General features: G+C 38.6%; 1 protein-coding gene across 12 annotated transcripts in view; it reads right to left on the bottom strand.

The window, feature by feature from the left end:
* Positions 1 to 21,996, bottom strand: part of CDKAL1 (CDKAL1 threonylcarbamoyladenosine tRNA methylthiotransferase) — a 697,948-nt gene that overhangs the window by 574,291 nt on the left and 101,661 nt on the right. For all 12 annotated transcript variants that reach the window (XM_047418949.1, XM_047418952.1, NM_017774.3 and 9 more), the window contains one exon: positions 8,737 to 8,821. In XM_047418949.1, coding sequence (XP_047274905.1) covers positions 8,737 to 8,821 — 85 coding nt within the window. The remainder of the gene's footprint in view (positions 1 to 8,736; positions 8,822 to 21,996) is intronic.

Raw genomic sequence — 21,996 nt, 5'->3', positions numbered from 1 at the left:
ACTTCTATAAAGCATTAACCAAAGGAGTTTTTTGATTTGATACTATCATTAAGAGCAAATTTTATTTTTTGAAACTTTTGATCTTTTTTATTTACTCAAGAACCCCCCCAAGTTAAAGGCCATATTGTCTAAATCAAAATGGTCTAATGGATAAAACAAAGCCAGGGCAACTGACAAATGCTCAAGAGGAACTAGTATGCATCCAGCAGGCTGCCATCATAACACAGGGGGCTTCCTAGCGATTCTTTCTAAATTAGTAAGGGCAATAACATTTCAGATTTCTAAGGTGAAAAGGCAACCAAAAAGTCACTCTTATCTCTATTTTTGCTACTTAAAATTCTTACTCTTTTATCAGTCTGAATATCAATAATACAAACACTGTAAAACCTTGAAAAAAGTATTAAGCCCCAAAACAAACGACAAAATAATTCAGTCCATAACTGTCATGTCACAAATGCACAATTTCTGGATCTTAATCATTGAGACTGTATTAATCACATGAAAGACAGTAAATCCCTTAGAGTCATCTTTCTTTATTCCTGTCAAAACAAGGTGATCTTTTGTGTGGTGGCTCAAGAGAAACAAAATGATGTGATGCATAATTTAAAACAACTATTTAACACCAAGAAGTACTGGAAGGAAAACAAAAGCAGATGATCGAGAGATGATGACACACAGGAATAAGTAGCAAAGTGAAGCAATCATGGGTAAAGAGTCCAGGTTAGAAAAAGACAGGTCCCACCCCACTGCTGTAAATCTTTACATTTGGGTATAAAGGATTGGGTGCAACAGAAGGAGAAGCAACATCTTATCAGGCTCTCTTTGAATCTAAGCTTTACCTCACTCTCATGGAAAACCAAAACGCATGCAAGAGAGGACAGCAAAGGGAAAGGATGGTGCTGGAGGATGAGAAAAGGCACATGTGTAGCACGACTTAACATTTAACAATGTTACACTACTCATCTTTGCTGTTTTGTGTTAGGCAATGGTGACAACTGGAAAAATATCTGAATAAAGCAAAATGCTTGACAAGAGTAATCCATCACTGAAAGATTTTATATGTATAAATGTCACCTCAATCTGATATTTTCCCAATGTTAACTGTTATTGTACCTTTTACAGGATTGTATTTATTCTGGAAAGAAATCAAATGTTAGTTTAAGTGTTATCTTAATAAGAATTAGTTGTGATGATCAAAAGTCTTCAAGGCCATTAAAAATACTTAATCATATATAATATCTTTTTAAATTTTCTTTCAATCAAGCAGAATAGTACATTAAAGGAACCTGTGCTTGCTACCACTAGCTTTGTAGTGTTTAAATGGCAAACTTTTCTTGCCATTTCTACTTAATCATTCAAACAGCATTTCATTACTTTGAACCATATTAATAACACATATATAACAAAACCCATTGACACAAGTTATATTTGAGTTTTTAAACTTTTAGAAATACTCTAGAACTATGTCCATTAATTACATTATAAAGTTGATAATCACAGAAACTATATTCTCTAGGTTCAGTACATAGGGGGTATCAGTAGCAGTAAAGTATCTTTGTATCTTGTTTACCTTTCTACAGAGAAAAATACATAATTTGAGACAATCACAGGCTTCTCATTAAAAAAAAAAAGCATTCTCTGAAAACGGACAGCATCTGGTGAATACCATTCTCTGCCTTAGTTTAATTCGTCCTTCTTCTGCTCCTAAACTTGACCCTAACTCCCCTCTTCCATCCTCCCTTCCCTTGCCTCTTGCCATCGCTCCGGTAAGAACTCCTCTGTTCCTTCCACCATTTTGAATTAAGGATGACATCACATTCAACTATCAACTCTATGCAAACAATATTAAATTTGTGTTTCTAGTGTTGACCTCTTTGATATCTGCCTCAATTCTGCAACCACTTACTTGACATCTTTATCTAGGAAGCACAGTAATAAAATGGTTAAATGCACAGACTCTAGTCAGACTGCCTCGGTTAAAATCCCACTTCTACCATTTATGAACTGAACAGCAGCCTTAGAGACCTTCATCTGTAAAACAGATGCTGCTTCACCTATAAAACAGGAATACAAATGGAATCTACAACTCATTGATAGGCTGCAAGAATTAAGCTAGATAATATCTAATTCATCTAAAGCACTTAGAACACTGCCCGTCACATAGAAGACACTCAATAAAGCTCAAGTATATTCATTATCTTATTAAAATATTTATCTGTAACTTCAAATACAGCACATTCAAAACCAAAACATGTCATCTCTTAATAACTCCCTTCCTAGAATTCCTCACTTCATTCTAGCCAGAGACCTTAGAGTCATCTTGGACAACGTGGAATGTGTAAAGCAGCGGTCCCCCCAACATTTTTGGCACCAAGAACCGGCTTCATGGAAGATAATTTTTCCACAGACCGGGGGTGGGAGGTGTGGTGTTGGGGTGAAACTGTTCCACCTCAGGTCACCAAGCATTAGTTTAGATTCTTATAAGGAGCGCACAACCTAGATCCCTCACATGTACAGTTCACAATAGGATGTGTGCTCCTGTAAGAATCTAATGCTGCTGCTGATCTAATAGCAGGCAGACCTCAGGCAGTAATGCTTGCTCGCCTACCACTCACTTCCTGCTGTGCAGCCAGTTCCTAACAGGCCACAGACGAGTACACGTCTACAGCCCAGGGGTTGGAGACCCCTGATGTAAAGAATTCTTCCATCTCAAGTCAATGTATTCCTTCCAATTCTGAACACCTCCACTTTAGATGAGATCCTCTGTACCTGGACTACAACCACTCTGTCCTCACTGGACTCCTGATCTATACTCTTCCTTACACACAACCATCCTTCACATTGCTACTACAACTAAGTCCCTGACCAAGGCAGTAAAAACAGAAAACAAAAAATTTTTAAAGTTTACCATTTAAAGTAGTATAAAAATATAAAGTACATACTGTGCAGGCAAAAGAAGAAAGAATAAGTTTATTTTCTTAACGCACTGGAATAATTCAATATCTACATTGGGAGAAAAAAGTCTAAAAGATGCACAAGAGCTATAGAAAGAAAAGAATCAATCCTTAAAAAGTCAGGATAGAAGAGTTGGATAACTCAAAATTGTGAAGATTCAATTCTCCCCAAAATCATCTAAAAATTAAATGTAATCACAAACACACAACAGTATTCCTTGTTCAACTTAAAAACAGATACACTCTTAAAGAAGAACAAAAAGGTACTAGCACTATCAAATAGGTAGCCTTAATGTAACTCTGTACTACTTATGACTATGTAGAACAAGAACCAGAATAAAGAAATAGATCAAAGGAATGAAATAGAGGACCCAGAACAGATTCAAACATCTATGGACACTCAACATATGAGAGGGTGGGCAATGCACAGATAAAAGAAGAAAGAATAGAACTTAAATAAATAAATGATACTGAAACAATTGGTTATCTACAGAGAAAGACATAAAATTGGACCCCTTCTGATACCATAATAAAAAATAATAACAGTCAACTCTAGATGAATTATAGACCTAAATGTAAAAGGTAAAACCATGAAACTTTTAGAAGAAAATATAGGAAAATATCTTAATAGCTTCAGAGTAAGAAAAGACTTCTTAAACAATAAGAACACAGACCAAAAAGAACGGATTAATAAACTTTAAACCAGAATTTATCTTCATCAAAAGATACCACAAAAGAAAATGAAAAGATAAGCCACAATTGGGAGAAGATATTTGCAACGTGTATAATATCTAAGGATTAGGATATGTAAGACACATAATATATGGCCACAAATAAATGATTAAAATGAAAAAAAAAAACCAGAAAAATAGACAAATGACCTGAGAAGCCATTTTACCAAAAAAGTAAAATCCAAATAGCCAATAGATCTATTTTAAAAAGCCCAAACTCATTAATGATCACAGAAATGCAACAAAGGCCGGGCACAGTGGCTCACGCCTGTAATCCCAGTACTTTGGGAGGCCGAGGCAGGTGGATCACTTGAGGTCAGAAGTTCGAGATCAGCCTGGCCAACACAGTGAAACCACATCTCTACTAAAAATACAAAAAACTGACTAGGCGCGGTGGCTCATGCCTGTAATCCCAACACTTTGGGAGGCCAAGGTGGGTGGATCACTTGAAGTCAGAAGTTCAAGACCAGCCTGGCCAACACGGTGAAACCGCATCTCTACTAAAAATATAAAAAATTGACTAGGCGCAGTGGCTCACGTCTGTAATCCCAGCACTTTGGGAGGCCGAGGCAGGCGGATCACGAGGTCAGGAGATTGAGATCATCCTGGCCAACATGGTGAAACTCCATCTCTACTAAAAACAAAAATTAGCTGGGTGTGGTGGTGCACGCCTGTAATCCCACCTACTCGAGAGGCTGAGGCAGGAGAATCACTTGAACCCGGGAGTTGGAGGTTGTAGCGAGACAAGATTGCCCCACTGCACTCCAGGCTGGTGACAGAGTGAGACTCCCTCTCAAAAAAAAAAAAAAATTAGCCGGGTGTGGTGGCGCCCGCCTGTGATCCCAGGTACCCGGGAGGCTGAGGCAGGAGAATCCTTTGAACACGAGAGGCAGAGGTTGCAGTGAGCCGAGATCCTGCCACTGCACTTCAGCCTGGGCGACAGGGTGAGAGCCTGTCTCAAGAAAAGAAAAAAAGGAAATGTAAATTAAAACCAAAACGAAATACCATCATCACCAACAGACTTGCAAAAACTTAAGTCTGGCCATATCAAGTGCTGACAAAAATGGAAAACAACAAATGCACACATCCATTACTGGTGAGAATGCACACTACTACATCCATTCGTGAAAAGAAATTGGCGTTACCTAATAAAGTTTGAATGTACACAGATATGTTACCCAGTAACTCAACTCCCAGGTTCATATTCTAGAATAATTCTTACACATGTGCACCGGAAAACATGTTTAAAATAGTCATAGCAGGAATGTCCATGAAAGCAAAACACTGGGAAAAATTCAAAACTCTATTAATAATAAAATGAATAAATTGTAGCAAATTCTATGAATTTACACCCATTAACATGAATAAATCTCAAAGCGTAATGCTGAGAAAAAGATGTAAATCTCAGAAGAACACAAACAGTATAAGTTCAACAGATAAAGTTCAAAATACGGCTAAACAAGACAACACACTGTTTAAAGACATACTTAATAGATGATACATTAACTAATAAAAGTAAGGAAATGACTCACAAAAGTCAAGATAAAGGTTACTTCTTGGGAGTTATGATTGAAAACACGGCAGTTTCTACGGTCTTGACAATGTTATACTTCTTACACTGGGTGGCAGATGTTTAAGTGTTTATTATTATTTAAACTGTATGTGTTTTATAAACGCTAATGTATGTTTAATATATTTCACAATAAAACCAATAAAGGGGAAAAAGAATGAGTATAAGAATGAAATTAAGAAGAGAAGAATTTTTAAAAGTCTGGCTGGGAAGGCAAGAAAAAATGTAGGACAATAGCTAACAGGGGCACAGGGGGCCGATTAGACCCAGGTATGTTTAAATACCAATGAAAAGGTTCCAGGGGAGTTGGAGAGGTTGGAAATATGGAATGAGGAAATAATTTCTAGAAGAAGGTTTCTAAGAAGATCCATGGAGATAAGATTCAGAGAAAATGTGAAAAAAGGATACTTCTTCCACGTTAACTTGAGGGAACAAAGAAAGAAGCAAGGACTTAATATGCCCACCTCCCTTCAACAAAGTGCAATTCCGTTGAAAGCCAGGTACTGCAGCACTTAGAACAGTGCTAATGGGCAGGGAAAAGAGGCAAGGACTGTGTCAGGCAACTTCACAAAGTATGCATTGATTCTCCGAGAAGAACACATAGTTAACACTTAACAAATACTCAAAAATCACCTATTAGCTAACTTCACAAATACTGAAATTACTTATTAGAAAAGTTCCCATTAAAGTATTACTCTTAAGGAGATAGACACACAAAAAACCCTTCAAAAAGCCATCCTCCTGAAACTACTCCAAACAACTGAAAACAAGGGATTTCTTCCTAACTCATTTTATGAGGCCAGCATCATCCTGATACCAAAACCTGGCAGAGATACAACAAAAAAAGAAAACTTCAGGTCAATATCCATGATGAACATCAATGCAAAAATCCTCAATAAAATACTGGGCAAACCGAATCCAGCAGCACATCAAAAAGCTTATCCACCATGATCAAGTGGGCTTCATCCCTGGATGCGAGGCTGGTTCAACATATGTAAATCAATAAACATAATTCATCACATAAACAGAACTAAAGACAAAAACCACATGATTTTCTCAATACAGAAAAGGTCTTCAATAAAATTCAACATCCCTTCATGTTAAAAACTCTCAATAAACTAAGTATTGATGGAACAGACCTCAAAATAATAAGGGCCATTTATGACAAACCCACAGCCCATATCATACTGAATGAGCAAAAGCTGGAAGCATTCCCTTTGAAAACGGGCACAAGACAAGGATGCCCTCTCTCACCACTCCTATTCAACACAGCATTGGAAGTTCTGGCCAGGGCAATCAGGCAAGAGAAAAAAATAAAGCGTATTCAAATAGAAAGAGAGGAAGTCAAACTGTCTCTGTTTGCAGATGACATGATCCTATTCCTAGAAAACCCCATCGTCTCAGCCCAAAAACTTCTTAACCTAATAAGCAACTTCAGTAAACTCTCAGGATATAAAATCAATGTGCAAAAATCACAAGCATTCCTATACAGCAACAATAGACAAACTGAGAGCCAAATCATGAATGAACTCCCATTTACAATTGCCACAAAAAGAATAAAATACCTAGGAAAACAGCTAACAAGGGAAGTGAAGGACCTCTTCGAGGAGAACTACAAACCACTGCCCAAGGAAATAAGAGAGGAAACAAACAAATGGTAAAACATTCCATGCTCATGGATAGGAAGAATCAATATCATGAAAATGGCCATACTGCCCAAAGTAATTTGTAGATTCAATACTATTCCCATTAAACTACCATTGACATTCTTCATAGAATTAGAAAAAAAAACTTTAAAATTCATATGAAACCAAAAAAGAGCCCATATAGCCAAGACAATCCTAAGAAAAAAGAACAAAACTAGGGGCATCGCGCTACCCAACTTCAAACTATACTACAAGGCTACAGTAACCAAAACTTCATAGGACTGGTGTAAAAACAGATACATAGACCAAGGAAACAGAATAGAGAACTCAGAAATAAGACCGCACATCTACAACCATCTGATCTTCAACAAACCTGACAAAAACAAGCAATGGGGAGAGGATTCCCTACTTGATAAATGGTGCTGGGAAAACTGGCTAGCCTTGTGCAGAAAACTGAAACTGGACCCCTTCCTTATACCTTATACAAAAATTAACTCAAGATGGATTAAAGACTTAAATGTAAAGCCCAAAACTTCAAAAACCCAAGAAGAAAACCTAGGCAATACCATTCAGGACATAGGCACAGGCAAAGATTTCATGATGAAAACATCAAAAGCAATTTCGACAAAAGCAAAAATTGACAAATGGAATCTAATTAAAGAGCTTCTGCATAGCAAAAGAAACTATCATCAGAGTGAACAGACAACCTATAGAATGGGAGAAAATTTTTGCAATCTATCCACATAACAAAGGTCTGATATCCAGAATCTATAAGGAATGTAAACAGATATATAGGAAAAAAAACAAACAACCCCATTAAAAAGTGGGCAAAGCACATGGACACTTCTCAAAAGACATTTATGCAGCAAAAAAACATATGAAAAAAAGTTCAACATCTCTGATCATTAGAGAAATGCAAGCCAAAACCACAATGAGGTACCATTTCACGCCAGTCAGAATGGCGATTATTAAAAGTCAACAAACAACAGATGCTGGCGAGGCTGTGGATAAATAGGAACACTTTTACACTGTTGGTGGGAATGTAAATTAATTAAACCATTGTGGAAGACAGTGTGGCGATTTCTCAAAGACCTAGAACCAGAAAGGCCATTTGATCCAGCAATGCCATTACTGGGTATATCCCCGAAGGAACATAAATCATTCTATTAAAAAGATACATGCACACATATGTTCATTGCAGCACTATTCACAATAGCAAAGACATGGAATCAACCCAAATTCCCATCAATGACAGACTAAAGAAATTGTGGTGCATATACACCATGGAATACTATGCAGCCATAAAAAGAAATGAGATCACATCCTTTGCAAGCACACAGATGGAGCTGGAAGCCGTCATCCGCACCAAACTAATACAGGAACAGAAAAACAAACACTGCATGTTCTCACTTACAAGTGGGAGCTGAACAATGAGAACACATGGACACAGGGAGGGGAACAACATACAGTTGGGCCTGTTAGGGGGTGGGGGAAGGGAGAGCATCAGGATAAATAGCTAATGCATATAGGGCTTAATACCTAGGTGATGGGTTGATAGGTGCAGCAAACCATCATGGCACATGTTTGCCTATGTAACAAACTTGCACATCCTGTACATGTACCCCAGAACTTAAAGTAAATTTAATTTAAAAATAAAAAATAAAAAAAGCATCATTCTGTATCAGACAAATTCAAAATAGTATAATCTTAAAAGTCCAACTCATACTTTTTTAATATAAACTAAATATCTATATTGACATTTTTAAAAAGCTAATCTTTTGGTATCAATTCTTACTTTGATTATACAAAATAGGAAAAAATCAATTTCTACTTACTTAATTGAGTTTCTAAAGTGGTCTTCAGCTGGGTTTTTTACAGTGCAACTGTTCAGGAGCCATAAATCTGCATCGGATGCATTTTCTATTAAAAAAATGAACACAAAAAAGAAGTAAGTAGCACACTTAATCATTCAAAAATATCCAGTGGCACTGGGATTGCTGCGGTAGGGGAGAGAAAAACAGTGGAGTAAAATGAACAGGCAATTACAACACAGTAGAAAATTGCTAGAACATGGAAATATTTGTGAACAATAAATATAAAAATGTGTAATCTATGCTATATCTTTTCACTTAAAATGTAATGATAAGCATTCTCTTCCTTTACTTTCAATGCTTGACAGTACTATCTAATAATTTCCACAAACTAAAGTGAAACTTGCCCTAATCTTAACTCTGAGTATCAAATCAATTTCACCTTTGTGGATTATGTGTTAAGCTTTTTCAGGCACAGAGTGTACACTGAATATTCTTCAGCTTGAGAAATTCTTAAAAACCTAACTTGTCTGCCTTAAAAATTAATGATTTACCTCAAAGTGGGCCTTTTATTCCTATCACCATTTTGATTAAATATTGTTATATACTATAATAAACTCACTGGCAATGCAACAAATAATCCAAACCCATCATATTTATTATATGAATTTTTAATACCTAAAGTTGCTACTATTCCACCTGCCTCTTGCATACTTCAGTTGCCTGAAAGGATCTTATATATTAAAATAGGATTACCATAAAGAAAGGAAAACCAAAATTGAAAACTGCAGCACCTTCAACAGTATCTGTATAAGAACAGAAGCTAAGATCAAATGACATGAACTAAGAGAACATACAGATGTCTATGTGTAGATTCTCCACCTAGGAAGAAAGATTCAAATAAGAGCACTAGGTGGGAGGACTGGTAAGCACATCAGAGTTTCTGGTAACTTGGCACACACGCCAAAAAATTCTACCGGGCGCAGTGGCTCACTCCCGTAATCCCAGCACTTTGGGAGGCTGTGGAGGGTGGATCATGAGGTCCGTAGTTCAAGACCAGTTGGGCCAAGATGGTGAAACCCGGTCTCTACTAAAAATACAAAAATTAGCCGGGTGTGGTGGCGGGCATGCCTGTACTCTCAGCTATTCAGGAGGCTGAGGCAGAGAATTGCTTGAACCCGGGAGGCAGAGGTTGCAGTGAGCCGAGATCATTATGCCACTGCATTCCAGCCTGTGCGATGGAGCAAGACTCCATCTAAAAAAAAAAAAAAAATTCCCCCAGTATTTTATTATAAACATGGCAAAAAAAAATATTTTTTTTTTTTTTGAGACAGAGTCTCGCTCTGTCACCCAGGCTGGAGTGCAGTGGCATGATCTCCGCTCACTGCAACCTCCGTCTCCTGGGTTCACGACATTCTCCTGCCTCAGCCTCCTGAGTAGCTGGGATTACAGGCGCCCACCACCATGCCCAGCTAAAAAAAAAAAATGTTGAAACAATGAAAGGCATGGAAACTACTTACACTATTTATCAGCTGAATACTATGATCCTTGCTAACCTGACTCATTTCTTGCATTCATTTCCTCTACCCCCAGACCATAGTCTAATTTGCCACCCAGCAGCCAGAGTGCCTTATATAAAACATAAATCAATTATGTCACTTCCCTACTCAACTCAGAAAAGATTATTCACCTACCTCCTGTTAGTATCCTCCAAATTATTCCCAATGCCACCTGAGTGATATTCCTCTACTATCAATCTGATCCTAGTACTCTTTCTTCTCTGAATTCCTATAACAGACTGTGTGTAGACAATTCTTGTACACTGAAAATCATTCATTTTTTGGCCTGTCTTTACTACTATTTAAGAGATACTGAATACATTTTTATCTGCTGCTCCTTGAACGTTCAAATCCCAACAGAGTGATGGGCACAGAGTAGACATTCAAATTGTCACGGCACACTAAACAATATGCAAGTAGGTAAAGGGTGAGGGGAGGATGACAGAGGGGCAATGTGTGGGACCACATGCATATGGCGCTTCTCCAATCTCCTAAAGCTTGGAAGGCCATAGTGATCGTTAGAAATGAGCTTCAAGAAACAAGCTTCACTGTTGTATTTAACAAAGATTTAGGACTGAGACTCACACCTTACTCGTAACTATATCCCCAGCACTTATTACAGGGCCTGCTACATGGGAGATACTCCTTAAATATTTGCTGAATGAATGTTGAATTTCAAATGACAAAGCAATACTATGAGAACCATATTATGCAGACAAGAAAATGTCACAGATGTCTGCTAGCTAATGATAAAAAAAAACTAGCAATTGTTAGTTTATTTCAAAACAAATAAATAAGGGCCGGGTGCAGGTGCTCACGCCTGTAATCCCGGCACTTTGGGAGGCCGAGGCGGGTGGATCACCTGAGGTTAGGAGTTCGAGACCAGCCTGGCCAACATGATGAAACCCCATCTCTACTAATAATACAAAAAATTAGCCGGGCGTGGGGGCGGGCACCTGTAATCCCAGCTACTCAGGAGGCTGAGGCAGAAGAATTGCTTGAACTCAGGAGGTGGAGGTTGCAGTAAGCCGAGATCGTGCCACCATACTCCAGCCTGGGCAACAAGAGCAAAACTCTGTCTCAAAATAAATAAATAATCCTAATGACAGATAATCCTAATCCATCTGAACTATCTGTATCAGATGCCAGCTTTATATCCTGGCACATTCTTCTACCCAGTCATTTTCAAGTCACTAGATAACTCTTACCATAGGACCCCTCAAGAAGTATGACAATGAATAAATAATGCAAATTATTGTACTTTGGAATTTTGCCAACATTGGTTTCAAAATAAAGGGAAAACATGTGTTGCATAATGACATTTCAGTCAACGATGGACCACATATATGACAGTTGATACACAAGAGTATAATGGAGCTTAAAAATTCCTATCACTTAGTATTTACTATAGAATACTTTTCATCACTATTTTAATGTACTCCTTCTACTTATTTAAAAAAAAAAAAAGGAAGAAGAAAGAAAAAAGTTGGCCAGGTGCAGTGGCTCACACCTGTAATCCCAGCACTTTGGGAGGCCGAGGTGGCTGGATCACGAGGTCAGCAGTTCAAGACCAGCCTGACCAAGATAGTGAAACCCCATTTCTACTAAAAATACAAAAATTAGCCGGGTGCAGTAGCAGGCGCCTGTAATCCCAGCTACTCGGGAGGCTGAGGCAGAAGAATTGCTTGAACCTGGGGGACAGAGGTTGCAGTGAGCTGAGATTGCACCACTGCACTCCAGCCTGGGTGACAGAGTGAGACTCTGTCTCACAAAAAAAAAAAAAAAAAAAAAAAATTTAACCGTGAAATAGCCTCAGAAAGGTCCTCCAGGAGGCAGGTATTCCAGAAGAAGGTAAGGCATTGCTAACATAGGAGATGACAGCTGCATACATGTTATTGCCCCTGAAGATCTTCCAGTGGGACAAGATGTGTTGCTGGAAGACAGTAATATTGATGATCCTGCCCTTTGTAGGCCTAGGCTCATGTGTATGTTTCTGTCTTAGCGTTTAACAAACACATTTAAAAAGTAAAAATAAATAAAATTTTAAAAATAAAATAAATAAATAAAATAAAATTATTTATTTATTTTTATTTATTTATTTATTTATTTATTTGAGACAGAGTCTCACTCTGTCACCAGGCTAGAGTACAGTGGCGCAATCTCGGCTCACTGCAACCTCCGCCTCCCGGGCCCAAGTGATTCTCCTGCCTCAGCCGCCCAAGTAGCTGGGACTACAGGCACCTGCCACCACACCTGGCTAACTTTTTGTATTTTTAGTACAGACGGGGTTTCATCATGTTGGCCAGGATGGTCTCAATCTCTTGACCTCGTGATCTACCTGCCTCGGCCTCCCAAACTGCTAGCATTACAGGTGTGAGCCACTGCGCCTGGCCATAAGTAAATAAAATTTAATTTTAAACACTTAAACAATAAGGAAATATTTTTGTTCAGCTGTACAATATACTTGTGTTTTAAGTGTTATTACAAGAGTGTGAAAACGTTTTCAAAAATTAAAAGGTTCATAAAGTAAAAATATTATAGTAAGCTAAGGTTAATTTATTATTATGAAAGAAAAATATTTTGTATAAATTTAGTGTAGCCTAAGTGTACAGTGTTTATAAAGTCTACAGTAGGGTGCAGGGTATGTCCCAGGCCTTCACATTCACTCACCACCCACTCACTGACTCACCCAGAGCAACTTCCAGTCCTGCAAGCTCCATTCATAGTAAGTGTCTTAGACAGGTGCACCATTTTAAATTTTTCATACCATATTTTTACTGTACCTTTTCTAGTTTAGATGCTCTGCAGTGCCTACGGTATTCAATACGGCAATATGCTGTACAGGTGTGTAGCCTGGGAGCAATAGGCTATACCATATAATGGCCTAGATATGTCATAGGCTGTACAATCTAGGTTTGTGTGGGTACACTTGATGATGTTCGCATGATAACAAAATAGCCTGACACATTTCTCAGAACAAATTCCTGTGCTTAAGCAACACATGACTGTACTATACTTGATGCAGTAACCTCAATCAATAGGAATTCTGTGAATATGTCAAAATGCCAAAAAATTACATAATCTTTTAGGAACCCCCCCACCCAACAAATATTCCTTTCCCGCTGAACATAGGAGATTCTTTTTTTTGTTGTGTTTTTGTTTTTGTTTTTGTTTTGAGACGGAGTCTCGCTCTGTTGCCCAGGCTAGAGATCTCGGCTCACTGCAAGCTCTGCCTCCCGGGTTCACGCCATTCTCCTGCCTCAGCCTCCTGAGTAGCTGGGACTACAGGCACCCGCCATCACACCCGGCTAATTTTTTTTTGTATTTTTAGTAGAGACAGGGTTTCACCATGTTAGCCAGGATGGTCTCAATCTCCTGATCTCGTGATCCGCCCACCTCAGCCTTCCAAAGTGCTGGGATTAAAGGCGTGAGCCACCACGCCTGGCCAGGAGATTCTTAATTATTTCTGAACTCTATCAGTTTTGTATTAGGACATCTTATTTAATATTATCAAAAGATAGTTCCTCTTAGAGGCATAAATCAGTCAATCAACAAACAATAGGCAATCAGGATTCACTACGTGCCAGGCTGTACTCTGGGTACTGGGGATACGGCTGTGAATAGAATCTCTACCCTCAGGGAGTTTACAGTCTTAAAGAGCCTATCTGATTTTAAAAAATTAAAAATAAATTAAAAAAAAAAAAAAAGCAGGCCAGACACGGTGGCTTGTGCCTGTAATTCCAGCACTGCAGGAGGCAGAGGCGGGCAAATTACTTGAGGTCAGGAGTTCAAGACCAGCCTGACCAACGTGGCAAAATCCTGTCTCTTTGTATTTTGTAAAAATACAAAAATTAGCCAGGCATGGTGGCGCATGCCTATAGTCCCAGCTACTCAGGAGGCTGAGACAGGAAATTCGCTTGATCCCAGGAGGCAGAGGTTGCAGTGAACTGTGATTGCACCACTGCACTCCAGCCTGGGCTACACAGCAAGATTCTGTCTCAAAAAAAGAAGGGAAAAAAAGAGGGAATAATTAATTATGTCAAATGCTAAGAATTCAAGACAGATATCTGTATAAATGTTAATATTGTTAACAAAAAGATAATACCCTAAACTTTTCCTTTCTCAATTTAGAGTATTTGCTAGCTCTGAGCCAACCCACAATCACCCAGCAGAGGCCTTATTTATGAAATAACACAGAAAACAAACTCACTAAAAATGAAAAGTGAGAAGGAAAACTGTCTATGGCTATTTGCCAATAAATAATGGTGATTCCACATGGCTTACCCCCTTATGCACACATTGTTGGGCTTCTAAGATGCCATCAACTACGAGAAACACCATCAACTCTGCAAAAACTCTTCCAGAGGGGTAGAAGTTAAATGCAAGTTCTTATCAATTTTAAGATACATCCCAATTTCATACATTAATTTGGATAAGTGGAGGTGGAATAAATAATAAAATAAATATACAAACACACTGCCACTTTTAGATGATCTGGTCATCAGAGCAAATACCTGCTAAGAGGTTAACACCTTCTGATCTTGCCTTAGAACATTCATGCCAGGTCCTCCAGTGCCTTAAAAGGAGAAGCAATATTAGAGAAGGGCACTGAAGGAAAGAAGGGCCAGGCAGATGGACAAGAGTGGACCAGGGAAGGGAAAGGTAGGAAGAAGGCACCAACTTAGAGAGTGCCCAAGAAAGAACTCCACCTACTTCGAGATTTGAGCGTTAGAACCCCTTAGAGTGCTCGTAACCTCTGATATGCAGCTGAAAACCATCTGCACATAAGCTAAATATTGCCAATGCCAAAGTTGGGATATCAGATCTATTTTGGAGAGCTGCAAACTTCAGGCTAGACAGATGGAATCTAGATTTCAATATCTTATTATTTACAGTCTGTTGTTGTTGTTGTTGTTGTTGTTGTTGTTGTTGTTGTTGTTGTTTGAGACAAAGTCTCACTGTGTCGCCCAGGCTGGAGGGCAGTGGCATACAGTCTTTCTTTATTACAAACAGTACTGCAATGAGTAGCAATGTACACATGTCATTTTTATGTTTCCCAGATTACTTTTGGAATCGAGTCCAAAAAGGTGGGAATGTGGGGTCAGAGGATAAATTCTCATGAAATTCCATTACATACTGTAAAATTCTTCTCCACAAAGGTGTGCCACTTTGCACTCCCATGAGCAGGGCCTGTGAGTGCCCTTTACCTGCAGCCTTGACCCTGGAGTCTGCTATGAAAACTTTGGACTTCCGCCAATCTGGTGAAAAACAACAGTGAGGGTGTAACATGCATTTTTCTTATTATGAGTGAGCTGGGCACCTTTTCACGCATAAGGGCCCCTCGCAGTGTTTTTTTTTTTTTTTTCTGTTTTTCATCTTTTCATCTGTACCTATTTTTTGCCCATTTTTCTATCAGGCTAATAGTTATTTTCATCTCAAATTTTAATTTACTCATACACATACGCCACATAGGATATCAACCCTATCTATATCTATGATAGAAGTCACAACATTTTTTCCAGTTTGTCATTTTACTTTTTTATCGTTTCTTCATACTTTTTTATTTCTAAAATAGCAAATGTGTCACTCTTTTCTGTTATTGCTGATGGGTTTTGAGTCATTATTAGAACACTTCCTCTATTCCCAAATTACTAAGTAATTCACCCATGTTTTCTTCTAATACACATATGGTTTTGCATTTATATCTCGGATCTATTAGGAATTTATCCTGATATACATTGATCTCGCATAATTTTAAAATGCAAAACAAAATGAGATCCTATATTCTCGTATCAAAATAGAAAATATTAAGTGCGATACTATCCAGTGCAAGCAAAAGAATGGGAAAACTGGCAACCTCTCCCTCTGCTGATGGCAGGCTACGCTGATGAAACTCTTTGGAAGGCAAAGTAGAAAAAACTAGCAAATATATATGCACGTCAGAATTTCTCCTACATGTGCTTGTAGGATACTTACATCACATACCCATACACATGTGTACACACACGCACGCACACACACAAACATATATAAATAAGTAATTCTCATTGAAGATTATTGACAAGGCAAAAAACATAAAAAGCCAACATATCCACTATAACGACACTGGTTAAATAAATTACGGGACTGCAGCTGAAATATCATGCCTGTTTAGAAAGCAACATAAATCTCTACGTGCCAATTTGTAACAATCTCTGTGATATTATCAGAAGAAACAAAGCAAGGTGTAGAAGAATATGTCTAGTATCTACTTTGTGTTTTACAAAGGAAAAAGAAAAAAGGGAAATTCTGTTCTAAGCAAAGAAAATGGATAGAAGTATACATGAAAAACTGGTTTGCCCTTGAAGGCAAGATAAAGGTTCAGTGGGCTCCAATATTGTATTCATGTGCATCTTTTATATTCTTTCTCTTTTTTTTTAAACTTGCATGGATACTACTTTTATAATTTTTTAATGCTTAATCCTGAGAAGGGACACATGAATATTTAATTTATATCTATCTGTACTGTTTGAATTGTTAAAAGCATGCATTGCCCTTTTTTCCCTTAAAAAACTTATCAACGCTTTTTAAATGTTTTTAAGTTTCCCTTTCCATACAGCTTGGAATCAATAGCTTCCTTTTATTTTAAGGTGAGAACATAAACTATTTTCCTGCTGTGATCCATCAGAAAAACAGTGACCTGATATACATTTTCCAAGGGACTTTTCCCTTGCCTGCTAAAAGCTTTTGGACTCACCGAACCAAGAAAATAATAGTCACCAACAAAAGAAATAAACTATTGTTGTAATTGAAACACTTTACTTTCCAAACTATTTCTTTATATACAGAAAAATTATTTTTAAATCCAGGGTAATAAAAATCTGATTAGTAATAACGATAATAGCTAACATTATTGAGTACCTATTATATATCCAGCAATAAACTTGGCCTGTCACATTCATTTTTTCATGTAATCCTCCCACGTTGACCTTCATTTTTATTCCAATTTTATAGAGGAGGAACCTAAGGTCTAGAAAAGAAAAGTAACTTGCCTAGAATCACACGGTGAGAGGGTTGGCAGGGATTACAAACCCAGACAAACTGACTCCAGAGACTGTGAATTTAAGGAAATTATAATGGCTCATTAGTGGCTCTTTGCCTATTGATCAAAAAACAATGTAGACAATATCTAAAAACTAAAATAAGTAATATTACATGGCCTTACAGTTGTCATTTCTAAGACTAACAATCGGGCTTCAAAAGCAGCCGTTCTGCTATTTTCAAAATTTCTAAGATCTTGAACATGTCATGTCTTGGCCTTTGGTAATGAGCAGGAGACATGGAAGCAAAGGGAGATTAATAATGAATGCAGGATTATTACCCTAAAGCACAGGCAGACTCTCACAACTACGAATCTGCCCTTCCCCCTGCAGGCTTCTGCATAATGGTGGCATTATAGAAGAGACAGCACGGTTCACATCAACACTATTCAGGAGAACAAACCTTTATCTTACACAACAGTTCCATTTGAAAATCAACCCAAGAAACAACACAAAACAATAAAAGGAGTCTATTCATGGATTTAAGTAAGGAGGGTATGGAGGTTGATACAAATAAAAATTCAGTAAGAACAAAACAAAGAGAGAAAACAGTTTGATTGTCTTGAACCCAAAAAGCATGTTTTGAGAGTTTCTTTACCACAGAACTCTGGAAGACAAGTCAAGTCCAAACATTTTAAGTGTGCAGTACGTTTACCCATACCCAGAGGGTTTATTTACGTAACACAAATCATTGACTGCCTACTAAAAACTGAGAATAGAGTATGCTTTAATAAGAGAATTCGAAAGCACCCTTAAGGTACAACTTGAAAAATAACTTCTTAAAACCAATGAAAATGGTCGGCGCGGTGGCTCGCGCCTGTAATCCCAGCACTCTGGGAGGCCAAGGCGGGCGGATCACGAGGTCAGGAGTTCAAGACCAGCTTCACCAACATGGTGAAACCCCATCTCTACTAAAAATACAAAAATTAGTTGGGCGTGGTGGCACATGCCTGTAATCCCAGCTACTCGGGAGGCTGAGGCAGAAGAATCACTTGAACATGGGAGGCGGAGGTTGCAGTGAGCCGAGATCGCACCACGGCACTCCAGCCTGAGCAGCAGAGCGAGACTCCAACTCAAAAAACAAAAAGAAAACAAAATAAAAATTCTGGTCAATAGATTAATTTTTTTCTTTACATTTCATTTATTTTTCTTTATTTGGACTTACACAATGCTCAGCATGGAGTAACCATGTTTTCAAAATCTGTTTTCTAAAAAGAATAAAAGTGATTCATGATAAAGTATTTTCCTTTAAGCCAGCTAGGGTTGGAGCGCTGGGAGAACGAGCAGAAAAAGGGGGGAAAAGGAGGAAAGAGTAGAGGAGAAATGATAGGAAGACACTGACAAAGAGTACCTATGCTCCCATTCTGAAACTCTCAAGAGTATGAACTGGCCCTTTGTATGGTGGTGGTGTCTGTAGAGTGAGTCTCTGACTAAAGGAAATAGAAGCTACTAGGAAGAAGCAGTTATTCTCGGAGATTACTTATATAATGAGTTTGTTCTCTTAAAATAGTCCCCCTGAGTGCTTCATAGAAATAAGATGAGGAAACCAAGGGTCAACTTGAAGTCTGTTCATTATATGAAAGACGATTTTTTCTTTTAAATGAAAAATAATAGCTGGCAAAGCTCTACCAGTAACTATTGAAAATTAATTATGGCTATTACCCCATAGCTAAGTAGGCCTGGTCATAGTCAAATCAGGTACAAGACAGACGTTGTACTTACCATGTAGAAAAGAACATTATTAATATTCCCCATCCTCATTCCAAATTAAATTGCTCTATTGATTTTGACATATAATTATTTCAGAAGTTACTGCATCTAGAGAATCCCTAGGCCGGGCGCGGTGGTTCATGCCTATAATCCTAGCACTTTAGGAGGCCGAGGCAGGCGGATCATGATGTCAAGAGATCGAGACCATCATGACCAACATGGTGAAACCCCGTCTCTACTAAAAATACAAAAATTAGCTGGGCATGGTGGCGCGTGTTTGTAATCCCAGATACTTATGGTGGCGCGCGTTTGTAATCCCAGATACTTGGGAGGAGAATCGCTTGAACCAGGGAGTTGGAGGTTGCAGTGAGCTGAGATCGCGCCACTGCACTCCAGCCTGGAGACAGAGTGAGACTCCGTCTCAAAAAAAAAAAAAAAGAATCTCTAATAAGATACTATTTCTGTAAGTCAAAAAAAGTTTTATAAACCAAGAGCCTATATAAACACCAAATGGACTTTCCAGGGCCCTTCACGATCCAGCCACCATGCCCCAATCCAAAACTACTGCTCACCAGGCCCATCTTACAAGCAATGTTACAGCCACAGTGAGCTGTCAGGCCCTTAGGCCTAACATACAAAACTCAAAAACTTAAAAGACCAAAGCTAATAGAAAAAAACGGGCAACAAATATGAACTGAGAGTTCATGAAAAAATGAAACACATATGGTTCTTGAACATACAAAGAGATGTTCAACTTCATTCTTAACAAATGAAAACTAAAACTGCACTTTTTAAAAAAAATACTATTTTTCACTTACTAGACTGTCAAAAATCCAAAAGTTTGATAGCACACTATACTGATGTAACTGTGAGAAAACAGTACTCTTCATGCTTTGCTGGTGGGCATAGATACCAGATCGCCACTTAAGGAGGTAATATGACAGTATCTACTGAAATGGCAGGTGCATATTCTCAGACCTAGCAGTTCACCTTTTAAGAAGTTAGCCTACTGCAAACATACAGGTATTATTTGTAATCGTAAAAAATGACTGGTTACAAATATTTTAGTACCTTCAGAACAAATATTCCTATAAACAAATGAATAACCTCTAAGTTCCAATGCAGAAAGATCTCCAGGTCATATTATTCAGAGAAAAAAAAATAAGACAATAAAAATATATACAGTAGGCTATCCCTAGGGATAAGAAGGGGAAAATCTAGAATATATAATCACATTTGCTGGTATTTACATAAAATTTTTTTGGATGTATACCAGAAACACACAGCAGTGGCTATATGCTGGGGCTGGGAGAAGGGAGTAAAAAAGAGTTAATGGGAAAGAAGAGGAAAACTTTTCCTTGTATGACTTCTACTTTCATTTAGAAACTATTCTAAAAATTAAATATTTTTAAAGTAAAAGGCAATCATAAAAACTGTAGCTTTTCTTAATACATCTTCCTGCTATCTCCTCATTTCTTTTTTGTTGTTGTTGAGACAGAGTTTCGCTCTGTTGCCCAGGCTGGAGTGCAGTGGCACAGTCTTGGCTCAGTGCAACCTCTGCCTCCCAGGTTCAAGCGATTCTCCTGCCTCAGCCTCCCGAGTAGGTGGGACTACAGGCACCCGCCACCACACCCGGCTAATTTTTGTATTTTTAGTTGAGGTGGGGTTTCACCATATTGGCCAGGCTGGTCTTGAACTCCTGACCTCAAGTGATCCTCCCGCCTCGGCCTCCCAGAGTGCTGAGATTACAGGTGTGAGCCACTGTGCCCGGCCTTCCTCATTTGTTTACTCCCCCTTCATTATCAAACATCTCGAAAGAACTCTCTCTATGCACGAGCTATACTCTGTCACCTCACATTCACTCATCTACCACTTCATTTTGGTGAAGACCCTCAACTACCCACCGTGTCCCTAAAACTGCTTTCATCAAGGTAACTGACACCATAAACATTTGGCAGAATGCACAAAGCAGTGAAACAGTCCTTTCTTTTTTCTTTTTTCTTTTTTTTTTTTTTTTGAGACGGAGTCTCACTCTGTCACCCAGGCTGGAGTGCAGTGGTGCGATTTCCGCTCACTGCAACTTCTGCTTCCCGGGTTCAAGCAATTCTCCAGTCTCAGCCTCCCGAGTAGCTGGGATTACAGGCATACACCACCATACCTGGCTAATTTTTGTATTTTTAGTAGAGACGGGGTTTCACCATGTTGGCCAGGCTGGTCTCGAACTCCTGACCTCAGATGATCCACCCGCCTCGGCCTCCCAAAGTGTGGGATTACAGGCATGGGCCACTTCACCCCGCCAACAATCCTTTCTTTATGTTATCAACAGCATCACTCTCCCTGGCCTTTCTACTTTATCCATCTCCCTCCCCCATCCCACCTCTCAGGACTCGGAGTTTCAGAGGACCTAGATTTGGATTCCCTTCTCTTCTGTGTACTAGATGATCCCATCCATCCCTCCCATGGTTTGAAATACTACCATTTGGCTGAGATGATAGCCAAATTTATACTTCTAGTTCACACACGCATCTGAGCTCACTATCCAACTCACCTAAGAACATCACTGGAATGCATCACAGAAATACTAAACTTGACACAAATAATTTCCAAAATTGAACTCTCAAATTTTCACCCTGTATTCATCAGGTTCTAGTTAGGAAAAAAGAAACCACTCTAAGCATTAAAACAGATACAAATTAACAGAGAAATGTGGTTACATGGCAATAGAAGATCCAAGACTCCAAACAGGGAATGGGAAGGAACACCAAAATGAACAACAGCAGTGATGGGGCTCAGAGCACACTACCCCAAAATATACCACCTCGACATAGTGAGTATTTTAAATGGAAGAGATCTGAAAAATAGCAGAAGCAGGAAGGTCTCTCTGACCTTGTCCCTCTTGTCTCCCCTGAAACAAGTCATAAAACCTAGAAGAAAAT

Source organism: Homo sapiens, chromosome 6 (genome assembly GCF_000001405.40).
Source record: "Homo sapiens chromosome 6, GRCh38.p14 Primary Assembly".
Lineage (NCBI taxonomy): Eukaryota > Metazoa > Chordata > Mammalia > Primates > Hominidae > Homo > Homo sapiens.
The sequence above is the reverse complement of the archived record's forward strand: the minus strand, read 5'-3'. Positions and strand labels throughout refer to the sequence as shown.